The sequence below is a fragment of the Homo sapiens genome, chromosome 9 (genome assembly GCF_000001405.40).
Source record: "Homo sapiens chromosome 9, GRCh38.p14 Primary Assembly".
NCBI lineage: Eukaryota > Metazoa > Chordata > Mammalia > Primates > Hominidae > Homo > Homo sapiens.
In genome coordinates this window covers 42815251-42828570 of record NC_000009.12, presented here as the reverse complement: position 1 = coordinate 42828570, position 13320 = coordinate 42815251, and the positions used below count along the sequence as shown (strand labels likewise).

Genomic DNA, 13320 nt, shown 5'->3' with positions numbered 1-13320 from the left:
AAACCTACTAGAAATAATAAATTAGTCAAGTTCCAAGATACAGTATCAAAATATAAAAATGAATACTACACCCATGGACCAATAGTGAAATATCTAAGAAAGAAATCAAGAAAGCTATTTCATTACCAAAAAAAAAAATGATATCTAGGAATAAACTTAACCAAAAAGGCAAGAGATCCCAAAATGAAAACTTCATAAAACATAGATGAAAGATACTAAAGCAGACACAAGTAAATGGAAAGATATCCCATCTCTATGCACTAGAAGAATGTTAAAATATGTGTATCACCCAATGTGATCTACAGAATCAATGCAATCCATGTTCAATTACAAGACATTCTTCACTGAAATGGAAAAAGAATCTTAAAATTCACATGGAAGTTCAAAATACCTCAGATAGACAAAAGAATGTGGAATAAAAAGAAAAGCTGGAGGCATCACACTACCTGATTTCAAAATATACTACAAATTTATAGTAAGGATGGTACTATCAAAACAGCATGGTACTATCAATAAAAGGGGCGGGGGAGAGACAAGAGAGATGAACGAATGAGACAGACAGACATAGACAAGTGAAACAGAATAGAGAAATCATAAATAAATTCACGCGTTTACGGTCAATTCATTTTTAACAAAGGCCCCAAGAACACACCTTCGGGAAAGACAATCTCTTCAATAAACTGTACTAGGAAAACCCAACACCCACATGTACAAGAATACATCCAGGCCATTACCTTACCATATACAAAAATCTACTCAAAATAAAGATTTAAATACAGGACCTGAAACTATGAAACTACCAGAGAAGAAAACATAGGATAAATGCTTCATGAAATTGGTTAGGACAAGGAATTTTCAAATAGACATCAAAAGCACAAGCAACAAAAGCAAAGATGTAATTACATTAAACTTAAAACCTTTTCCAAAGCAGAGGAAGCAATCAGTATAATGAAGACAGAACCCGAGAATGGAAGAAAGTCTTTGCAAACTATGCATCAGGCAAGAGGTTAATACACAAAATATCTAAAGAACTCAAACTACTCAAAAGTGAAAATACAAATAATCTTATTTTTAAAAATCCACCCAAAACTTCTATCCCCCACCATTTCCCCACCTTCTTTTCCCGACCGCATTTCGCCCTCTCCCTCTCACCACCCTTTCTCTTCCTCCATCTACCCCAAACTTTTTCACCGTTATCTCCCCACCATCATTTCGTTTTCTCCCCGCCCCACCCCGCGTCATTTCGCAAAGCCTTCTCTATTCTCCCGCTCACCACGCTTTTCCCCAACCATCTACCCAAACACTTTCTCCCGTTTTTTCCCACCGTATTTTCCCCCTTCTCCCTGGCCACCCTCTTTTTTCCCCCTCCTGCTGTCATCATGCCCTTTTCCTCCTTCATCTAAGCAAAAACATTTTCCCCCCGTCTTTTCCCAAAGCCTTTTCCCCACTCCTGCTGCTCACCACCCTCTTTTCCCCCTTTATCTACCCAAAAACTGTTTTCCTCATTGTCTTTCCTCCTACTCCTCCTTGCCACTCTTTCCCTTCTCCATCTACCCAAAAACATTTCCCCACCATCTTTTCTCGAAGCCTTCTCCCCACTCCTGCTCACCTCCCTCTTCCCCCCATCTACCCCCCAAAATTTCCCCATCTTTTCACAAAGTCTGCCCCCTCTTCCCACTCGTCCTCTTCTCTCCCCTATCCTGCTTGCCACCCTTTTTTTTGCCCTGCATCTATCCCAAACTATTTTCCCGTCTTTTTCCCAACCTTCTTTCCCTGCTCCCTTCTCGCCACCCTCTTTCTCCTCCTTGTCACCCTCTTTCCCTCCTCCATCTACCCAAACACTTTTTACCTACCATCTTTTCTCCACCATCTTTCTTTTCTGCCACTGTTTTTTCGCAAAACCTTGTCTTCCTCCCGCTAGTTACCCTCTTTTTCCTTCTCCCACTTGCTATCTTCTTCTGCTCCTCTATCTACCCAAAAACTTCTCTCCCCACTGTCTTTTCACAAAACCCTCTCTCCCTACTGCTCGCCCATTTCCCCCACCTCACCACTCTCTCCTCTCCCCAATTGCCACCATCTTTTCCCCCTTCATCCACCCATAAACTTCCTATCCACCGTCTTTCTGCAAAACCTTCCCTCACTCCCGCTCCACAACCTGTCTTTCCACCTCCATCTACCCAAAACCTTTTTTCCCCACCATCTTTTCCCCATCATCTTTTTGCAATGCCTTCTCCTCCTCGCTATCCTTTTTTCCCTTTGGCAATAACCAAACTCTTTACCCACCCCTCTATCTATCCCAAAACTATTTTCCTCTTCCTACCCCTCCAGCCGCGCTGCAATCGCAATCTCCACTGCCACCACCAACCATAGCGAGGCGAGCTGCGCCTCTGTGCCGTGTCTCAAGCCTCCAGCATACGGCCGGTGACTCCTTTTCCTGGTCCTCTAAGCTGGGCACTGAGCAGCTCAACAGTAAAACACCGAACCCTAAAAAAAAAAAAAAAACCGTAACGGCTCTTCAGCATCATTTATATACGGAGGTTATGCGCATGCCGGTTCCTAGACTTCATGTTCTGATTGCATGAGAGCAAGTCTTAAGATAACCAATCACAGCATGAAAATAAAGTCCAATCAGAGTAGGCCTAGAGGTTTTTCTCTCATCCAATCAGAACATGTAGTCCAGGATCCGTAACTTCAGTATATAAAGCATGCTGAGGAAGTGGTGCGTCATTTTTGGGTCTTCTGTGTCGGTGTGTCCAGCTGCTAGGTACCTGGGTTAGAGAACTAGAAGGGTCCATTAGTTTTCACCGGCTGGAGCCTGGAGCCTGGAGCCTGGAGCCTGGGGCGCTGCCTCCCTGTTGGTGGTGTTGGTGACGGAGCGGTAGGAGGGAGGCTAGCAGCGGGAGCTTCTCCTGCCAGGCTGGAAGACGAGGAGAAGGAAGAGACACCACTGCATGCTGGAGGCTGGAGCCAGAGCCTGCGCCTCCGTGGCTTACCTCGCTGCAGTTGGTGGTGACATCAGAGACCACAGCTCGGCTACAGTGGTAGCAATGTGGTTGCAGTGAGCCAAGATTGCATCACTGCTCTGCAGCCTGGCGACAGAGCAAGACACCATCTTAAAAAAAAAAAAATTGACCCAGTGTTTTGCATGTTTCAGAAAAACAAATGATACCATTATTTAATATGCTGCAGTAACTAGAAGCCTACTTATAAAGTTGGTGGCAAATAAGTCATTGGTATATGTTAACTTCCTATAATCACTTACATGTTCCTAAGAGTCACTTTGTGTATTTATATAAGAAGGTCAGCATGTAAATGAGTATAGATAGAGAAACTTTTTGTTGAAAAGTAAGAAAGCTTGTCTCCCTTTTCCTAGTTATGAAGGAACCACCACCACAACAAAATAAAGCATATACTTTGTTTATAACCCTGAATCATGATTTATGGCCAGATTATCCTAGCATCCAACTGCCTACCTTGGCATTTATCAGTTGAAATGAGTCCAGAGAAAGGAATTATTTTTTATATATCTGCTGCTCTTGAAGGAGAAACCTTCTTTAGAGGTCACTTGTAAGAACAGGTGCCCAAATCCCCTATATCCAAGGCACTCTGGGCTGCCTGGGAACTCTACAAATCACAGTTTTGAGGGGTTCACTTTTCTGGTTGAAATTTATCATAGTTTATATGATGAAAGGATGACAGGTAGATACTCTTTAAGAGTTGAGGATGTGTTATGTTACCAAGGATTGTAAATATTTAATGAGAAAATGAGTTAGAGTTTCAATAATATTGATGGGACCTATTATCACTCACTTTCATCTAAAGCTCAGTGTTACTTCAAAGCATAAAATCAAGCAAACATCCCATGATTAATTTAGTTTCTTACACTGCTGTGCTTTGTGTTTCATTGAATTCAGAGTATGCCTGTGTACGGTCCCTGGGAACACTGTATGAAAGGATTTTTAAAGTAGTCTGTTCTGATACTGGTTTGTCAATGAAACTTTTCAAAAAGGTTAGTTGAATATCACTTAGTGTTCTTTATGTGACCCTCTTGGGTCTCCTTCCCAGTGCCAAATTCCCCCATCTCAACCTCATTTGGACATCCTATATTAAGAAAAAACAAAGCAGGTACTCATCAGCAGGAACGGAATCCTACTCTCTTGACAGAATTCCCGTGATCTATAACCTGCTGGATAAATAGTTCAAATGCTGTATCTCTGTTCCTATTCCTAGACTTTCTGGCACCTATTACCCTTCAAGTCCATGTGTCTTCCAGTAGGTTGCAGTGCTCTCCCCAGGAGATGGCAGCTACCTAGATTTGTATGTTACAGAGGTGGTCGTGTGCCTTCTCTACCTCTCTCCTATGTTCCCATGTAACCTAACCACACAGGCCATAATCAGCTCCACCCTAGGAAACATAACATTGGTACACCTGTCCCTTGAAGTTGTCCTTAGAGAGAATGGTCTGAAAACAAAGGGAGATTAAAGGTCTTTTCTGTTTCAGGGAAAGTATAGTTCTGTCAGTAGATTTCTGGTTAAAAGACACAGAAGAAGGAAAAAAGACACTCATCTGTAGGAACTCAGTTTAGCCAATGTGACTTCCACTTGGAAGCATTTTTCCTCTCCTCTTCAAGCCCAACTCTAGGGAATGTCCTGTGCAAAAATATCAGTGTAGGCGCATCTCTTTGCGGAACTGAGTTGCTCTGCTTTCAGTTTCCTCTCTCCAGTGCCCCCAAGCTCCTGCCTGGCTTCTTCTGCTGTTCAACCCAGGATCCCATGCTCTAGGACAGCCTTCTCACCATCTTTCTTCAGCTCTTAATTCAAAAGTCCCACTTCCAGTTCATGCTCAGAGAAAAAGCAAGTAGACCTAATCTTTATTAGAATGTGAATTTCTAGACAATAGTACTCTCTTTGGCTTACTTCACTGCCCTACATGCTGAACTTTCAGATAATATAAGGAAGAGAAAAAAGTCTAGATGTTGGAGAGGGAGTCGGTTTCATTTTATACGATTCAGCCTAATGGGCTTTCATTGCTAACATTAGGGGTTACAGTTGAACCAGCCAACTCAGGAGGAAATTCAGAACCTGGATTCTTATAGTGATAGTGGAAAACAAATTCATGGTTAAGATTTGAATGTGAATTTTAAAATAAATCATAGTATTTAAAAAAACCATTTTTCCTTATTAAATATGTAACTTTGGAAAAGTTACTTAACCAGTTCATAATAGTACCTATTTTATAGGGCTGCTGTGGGGATTTAATGAGAACATTTATGGAAAGCACATGGCACTGTACCACACTCATAATAAGTACTCATTAAGTGTTGGCCACAATTCTCACCAGCCTTGTTCTCTGTCCTCAGGAGATGATGACCATAATTGGAAAATTGCCCATGTGGTACTCAAAGAGGAACAGGAATTTCGCTAACTTTTCCAGGGCACAAAAGGCGACCCTCGGAACTCAACTGGGGGAATTTACCTGGATGACATCACTCTTGACAGAAACCCCCTGCCCCACAGGGGTCTGGAGAGTCCAGAATTTCTCCCAGGTCCTTGAGAACACCAGCGAAGTGGACAAGCTTCAGAGCCCTCGATTCTACAATTCAGAGGGATGCGGTTTTGGGTTAACTTTATACCCCCATGGCAGAGAAAGCTCTGGCTATTTGAGACTTGCTTTTTACATGTGCAGTGGGGAGAATGATGCTATCCTGGAGTGGCCGGTAGAAAACAGACAGGTGATAATTACCATCTTCGACCAGGACCTGATGTCAGGAACAGGATGTCCTCAAGTTTGGTGTTCACTACCTCCAAGTTGCACATATCTCCAGGTGGGTGGTGTTGGCATAAATAAGAACTGCCCCTCGAACCAGAGAGGCCCACAGATGTGATTCTGTGGTGCAAGAAAGAGTAACGTTCTCCTCACATTTTCCGCCTGGGAATACCGATAACATAGGCGTGTTGGAGTTTCAAGTTAAGATTTTCAATGCCATCACATCCTCCTTCCCTTTCCTAAATTCACTCATCAAACATCTGTTGAGGGCTTACCATGTGCCAAACTCTGTGCTAGGTACTTACAATACAAGTGAATCAGGTGATCCCTGCCTCATTGATCTCATTGTGATTGAGGAAACAGATACTGCTAATCATTTATCAAATACTCGGAACTTGCTAGGCTCTGTGCAGAGCTAATGTACTTACTCCTAAAATAGCACTCAATATCACTATGTTCATGAAATAAACTTACATCAGTAAAGAAATGGGAAAACTATATTTTTTTTTTTTGAGATGGAGTCTCGCTCTGTCACCCAGGCTGGAATGTAATGGCGCAATCTTGGCTCACTGCAACCTCCACCTCCCAGGTTCAAGCAATTCTCCTATTTCAGACTCCCGAGTAGAGAAGGGGTTTCACCCTGTTGCCCAGGCTGGTCTTGAACTCCTGAGCTCAGGCAATCAACTTGCCTCAGCCTTCCAAAGTGCTAGGATTACAGACATGAACCACCACACCTGGCACTATTTTTTTTTTTTCAAAAGAGAAGACCTAAGCCTCAGAAGAAAGAAGCCATAGCTGTCCCTCTCTTTTCGTTAAAAAAGTCACGCAGTAGCAGACAACTGATCACTCAGAGCTGTGATTCTCTGCCTCTCCCATCTTTCAATTCTGAATTGCAATTCTCCTGGAAAGAGTAAATAGCTTAATTTTTTTCCAACACTTTTTTTATTTTTATTTTTATTTTTATTTATTTATTTTTTTCTGATTCACAAATCCCTGTATCCTCATAAAAGACAAACTGGAAAGTGAAGTCTAAAGAGGTAATGTGATTTTATGTTACCTACAATTTTGCAGTGACAAATGACACTGTCATCTGGGACAGGCCGTCCAGGGTGGGAACCTATCATGCTGACTGTAATTGTTTTAGAAGCATTGACTTTGGCTGGAGTGGTTTCATCTCCCACCAAATGCTGAAAAGGAGGAGTTTCCTGAAAAATGATGACCTCATCATGTTTGTGGACTTTGAAGGTACTTTTCTTGGTCTTCCTGAGTAAATAATCCTATGCTCTTGGCACTCTACTGATTTTATCCTGATTTTAAAGCACACATGGAGGGTGGGGATGAGGTTAAAAAAAATGTGTTGTAGGAGAACCACATTTTCTTCAATTGGTCAAGGACTCACATCTTTATTTTAACTGTCCCTGAAAGAAACTGAAATTTTAGTGTCATCTTTTTGAAAATTTTATCAGAGGTAACAGTTCACTGATTTCAATTTAGTTTCCATCAGTCTATCCATGCTAACTTTATGCTTCATTTTGCAAATTCAATAAATAAAAATGTGACTGGATTACTTTAAAATAAAACTAGCTAGTACCGTGGGAATCAGCTGGATTCAAAGCCACTTTTCCATGTCACTGGGGGTGACATATCACTAGAGATAGAAGCAGGCTGGGGAACTTTCACCAGAAATGGGAGTTCACTGTAGTCAGTTACTAATCCTGGATCTTTCTCGTGACCCTCTATTTCCTGAAGATATCACCCACCTCAGCCAGACTGAAGTTCCCACTAAAGGCAAAAGACTGAGCCCCCAAGGCCTCATTCTCCAAGGCCAGAAGCAGCAGGTCTCCAAAGAAGGTTCAGGAAAGGCCATGTTAGAGGAAGCCGTACCTGTCAGCCTCAGCCAGGGGCAGCCCGGCTGACAGAAGCCGTCAGTGAAGAACACAGGCCCCCTGGAGGACCATAACTGGCCACAGTACTTCAGAGGCCCATGTGACCCAAACCCTTGCCAAAATGATGGCATCTGTGTGAACCTGAAGTGGGTGGCGAGGTGCAGGTAGGCTCTGTGGCTGGGGAGACAGGCAGGCCAGCAGACCTGGGCCGTGTGCATGCTTATGCCTGGTAAAGGCTGCTGTTTGCAGAGTAGGGCGAAGACTACCTCAGATGGTCAGCTGGATGCAGTTTTCCTTGACTCTACAAAGGTGTGCCCTGGATTCATGGGCTTACGCTGCCAGGACAGAGGCGTCCCAGGTCTCCTTGTCTCTTGACTTTCACCCCTTTTCCTCCTCTGGGGTATTGTCAACAGCATCTTGGATGTTGTTGGAATTTCTAACTCTAACAACATCCAAGATGGCTTCTAGCCTAGGGACTTTCTACTCCATGACAGTGGGTCTCAAGACCAAGCTTAAATCTTTGCTGACTACACAGATGTTATTATTAGCTCCTAATGATTATTAGTTATACAGTCTGTCATTTACACTGCACTATTATTAAAGTTATGTTTTCAATAATAGTAGTAAGAACACCTGATATTTCTGACCCCTTGTTATGCATCATGTGGTCTCCTGAGCATCTTACACGCATGATCTAAATTCATTCTCACTGCCACCTGTGACATAAGGGCTCTCCTTATCCCCATTTGGTGTATCAAGAAGTTGAGGCTTAGAAAGGTTAAGTAATTTATCTAAAATGTACCCAGATGGAAAATGCTGAAGCTGGGACTTGCATCTAGGTCTGTCTGGCAGCACAGTTTGCTATATTTAATGTTTAAATATTAAAAAGCAGTACAGTTTGCTATATTTAAATTTGAATATTTAAAAAGAACTTTAATAGTTCTTTTTATAATGTTTGCTTGCATAAAACCCTGAAAACTGTTTCACAAAAGGAGGTATGTGATGACAGAAGCAACAGTTCCATTTGAACAGTAGCAGATGTAGGAGCTATTCTGCCTACCTCAAAAATTTACATTACTTCTGAGTTCTTTTTAGTCTCCTTTTTTTTCTTTTTGTAGCTTTTGCTTTGAAATAATTTTAGACTTACAGATACCTTGCGAAAATACTACAGAGGCTTTCTCTATACCATTCACCCTGCTTTCCGTAATGTTGGCATATTACACAAACCGTAGTACAATTAGCATAGCCAAGAAATGAACATTGGTAGAATGCTAGTAAATAAATTACAGGCCTTATTCGGCTCTTCCCAGTTCTCCCACTAATGTTCTTTTTCTATTTCAGGATCCAATTCCGGATCTCACGTTACATTTAGTTTTTATGTCTCCTGTCTCCTAATCCCCTCCAATCTGGGACAATTCCTCAGTTCTTTCTTGTCTTTCATTACCTTGACACTTTTGAAGATTACTGGTTAGGGATTTTTTTTTGGTTCATCTTGTTCTCTCATGATTAAATTGAGGTTTCACATTTGTGTCAAGATTAGTAAATATGTGCTGTGCCTTCTTGTTGCATCATGTGAGCAGGTACATGATGCCGATACATGTAATTACTGGTGATGTCAACCTTCATCATCTGGCCAACAGCATGTCCACCAGGCCTCTCCACTGAAGAGTTACCATTTCTCCCTCTGTAATTGATACATATCTTGGGAGAGATAGTTCAAGACCATTGAGACATCCTGCTTTTCCTCAAATCCTCACATGCTAATTTCAGCATCTATTGATACAACCTGCTGCAATATTCACCACTGGGATCTTCTAATGTTGATTTCCTATGTCCTTCACATTCATTAATTAGAATTCTTCTGTAAAGGAGAATGGCCCCTTCACCCCGTTAATTTGTTTATGCGATTATAAACATAAACATTTATTTTAGTCAGTGGGCTCTGTTGCAATGATTTCATAATTTATTTTGTTGCTTCTATTGTCCCAGCTTTGGCCTTTGGGAGCTCTTCCAGGTTGGCTCCTGTGATCTTTCAACATCAGATTTTATGAACACAATGTTACTTTCTGGCACCATAGCATGCTCTAGGCTCATCTTTTATATTTCCTGCCCCACCCATAGAATCAATCACTCTTCCAAGAAGCCCTCTGGCTCCTTTTACTGGGGAAGGCCCATCTGTTTCTGGGCTCCAAAGCCATGGGTCTTCATATCTTTGCCTGACAGGTCCTTAGATGCCAGATTCCATTGTGTGCCCCCAACACGCTTCATCCTTCCCAGGCTAAGGGAGGCCAGGGTTGCCACTTGTATGTCAGCCTCTACTCAGCCAAACTATTCCTCTCCTAGAAACCTGCAGCTGAGAGTTGGCAGAATAAGTTTTTCTAAGATAACAGTAGGGGATATTACGAAGTTGTGTTTGGAGGGGACTGGGTCAGAAAAAAAATGAAATAAACTTGCTATTACTCACTGATTTCTAAGAAGTCAATTCTCAGGATAGAGATGAGGACTTGGAAGTTAAAATCATTCAGGATTAGTAAAAGAAAATGCTGACTTCTTTTTTTTTTTTTTTTTGAGACACAGTTTTGCTCTTGTCACCCAGGCTGGAGTGCAATGGCACAATTTCAGCTCACTGCAACTTCGACCTCCCGGGTTCAAGCAATTCTCCTGCCTCAGCCTCCCGAGTAGCTGGGATTACAGGTGCCCACCACCATGTCTGGCTATTTTTGTTGTTGTTGTTGTTATTTTTAATAGAGATGAGACCATGTTGGCCAGTCTGGTATTGCCATTTTGGCCAGGCTGGTCTCAAACTCCTGACCTCAGGTGATCCACCTGGCCTCCCAAAGTGCTGGGATTACAGGCGTGTGCCACCATGCCCAGCCAGAAAATGCTGACTTCTGATTGTTTCACTCTGCCTTGTAGAATTCTGCTGAGTAGACCTTCTAGTGGGAATGTTTGAAACAAAGGCTGGAATTTTTACAAAGGTATGGATGAGACACTACAAGTTATATGCCTTGGTTATGAGATTAATTCATCTTTATACCAGATAACATTAAGAAACAAAACTAAGGGCTGGCCATTATGTGCTTACTCTGTGTCAAATACCTTGATAGGTACAGTGTCCTCATTATCTCAGGTGAACTTCAGGGCAACCTTGTGAGATAGTGACAGTACACACTAACCTTACAGTAACATTTTATTTAATATTATTTAGACGTTTTCAAGCTACCACTGATGCTCTAAGTCAGACTGTATCTGGGGAATTTCCTTTGTAGCTTGTATTCTTAGCCAGTGTCAGGCAATGTATTCCTTTAAGTGTCTCAGACCGTCCTCCTGAATCCTAGGTGGCTGAGAAGCCTGGATCTGGAGGCATACCTTTTGGGATTAGATTTCAAGTGTGAAATGCTTACTAACAATGGGACCTTGAGCAAATTATTTAACCTTCCTGTAAGATGAAGATGATGAGAATGGCCAAGTAATAGCCTCCACCTCAAAAGTTGTTGCAGGGTTAAATTAGTTGGTCCATATACAGCACTTGAAATGGGACCAGGCACCACGTGGACCCGCTCAGTGAGCGTTTGCCATTTTTATTGCTGTGGAGATGAGTGTTGCTAGGAGGCACCTGAGGCCTGGGATTTCCCACACTCTCTTCATGTCCTTTTCCCTCAGATGCATCTCTGGACATGCTTTCTTCTAAATGGGAGCGCTGTCAGGCCATGCAGGTGCACGGCAGCGTCCTGGGCATGGTGATCGGAGGCACGGCTGGTGTGATCTTCTTGAGCTTCTCCATCATCGCCATCCTTTCCCAAAGGCCAAGGAAGTGACCTGCCTGCTGGCATTGGCCAGACCACAGCAGCACCTCCTCCATGCAGGCCTTACCTTCCAATGGTCAGTGCAGTTTGGGGCAGCTTTTTTATCAGCCTTGCTTTGGATAGGACCTCCAAGGTCTAAGGCCTCCAGCCCCATGTGTGACCCTTGTCATCTTTCTGCCCCACATAATTCTGTTACTCTGCTATGTGCTCCTAATGTATCTAGTGTGTCCTGTGACAACATTCATCATACTTCATTGTAAACCACTTGTTTGATTGACTGTCTTTCCTATAGACTGTAAGCCCCATGAGGGCAGGCACATGTTGTTATTGACCATGCTGGCCACGTGCCTAGATGCATGGCTGGCACATTGTGGGCACTCAACAATGGTTGAATGAATAAAACAATAAATGAATGAATAAGATATAGAAACTCTCATTTATATTGCAGATCAAATATATATGATGAAATTCTTAGGTTGAATATGTTAGAATCAAATACTCATTTTTCATTAGACACAGTAGTGTCATTACTCTTTTAAGATCTTGTTAAAGATTTCAAATAAAGGTACTTCTAGGCAGCCCGGCTTCACAGCATTTGCTTTCCTCTGAGATTCTAAGAGAAGCCCTTTAATAAATTTAATAAATATTGAGTTAGCACCTTCTTTGTATCTGGTATTGTATGTACATGTGGGTGTGCATGTGTGTGTTGAAGGTTGGGGGTGTTCAAAAGCTCTTTCCCAGATCTTTTAAGTTTAACAGTATATTTTATAGCTATTTATGTACAACATTATCATATTAACAAACAGAAGGTATCAGAGAACTTTAAAGAAGTATTTTTAGATATGCTTTCTTTCCATAGTTCCTAAGGAGATAAAAATCTAGCTGGGGCAAGGAAGTTCCAAGATAGATCAAGTGGAAAAAAAAAAAAAAGAAAAAAAAAAGCTAAAGTTTCTATACCCAATCAGCAATGAGTCAGCTCAGGAAATTTAATAAACAAAAATATTTTAGGGATTCTGAGTGGTCCTTTAAGTTATAAGGTTTCCTAAGTAGAGACTTTATGACAATTTTGTAGAGTTAAAATGCACTGGAAACAAAATGAGAGATTAACAAGAGTTTCTTTAATGCAAAGGTATGAGAACAATTTGTAGCAAGTGAAAACAGCACCCCTGAGGGCAATACCTCTCAAACTTGAGGTGCATCTGTATCCCAGGGAGGACTGATTAAAACAGATTACAGGGCCCCACACTTTACAAACCTCCACTTTCAGTAGAGCCTCCAGGTCCCTCCCAAGAGCTTCCGTAAGTCACCACAACCCAAGAGGACCAGGGAGATTCCCTCATGCAGATGTTCCCAGACCATGCATGTGATGGCATGTGGAGGGCTTCCCACTTTGACATCTTCCTGTCCTCTGTAGAAACTGGGTCAGTAGATCTAGGGTGAGATCTAAGAATGTGCATTCTTAAATGTGCCAGGATCTAACAAGGTATAAGAATGTGCCAGAATCTAATAAGTTCTCAGGCCATGCTGCTACTGCTACTGACTCCCCCACAACCCCCACCTCACAGACACCTTGAGAACCACTGCTCTAGTGGATAGAAAACAAGTCTGGAAGCCAAGCATCCTGGCTGCAGGCTTGGATTGCCCATCCAGCTGGCTGGGTAATTTTAGTAAGAAATCATTTAAGCTCTTGATCTTAGTTTACTAACTTGTCAAATGGAAATAATAGCTGACTATCTCCTTCCACATGACTTTACTACTTACAGAGTAGCAGAGTAATACAATGGGATAATGAATATGAACCTATCTCAGAGTTTAATATGTATGAAAATATTACTATTCAATGTTCAGACTAGATAGGAAG

General features: G+C 42.0%; 1 pseudogene; it reads left to right on the top strand.

The window, feature by feature from the left end:
* On the top strand, positions 5359-12116 carry MEP1AP4 (meprin A subunit alpha pseudogene 4; annotated as a pseudogene).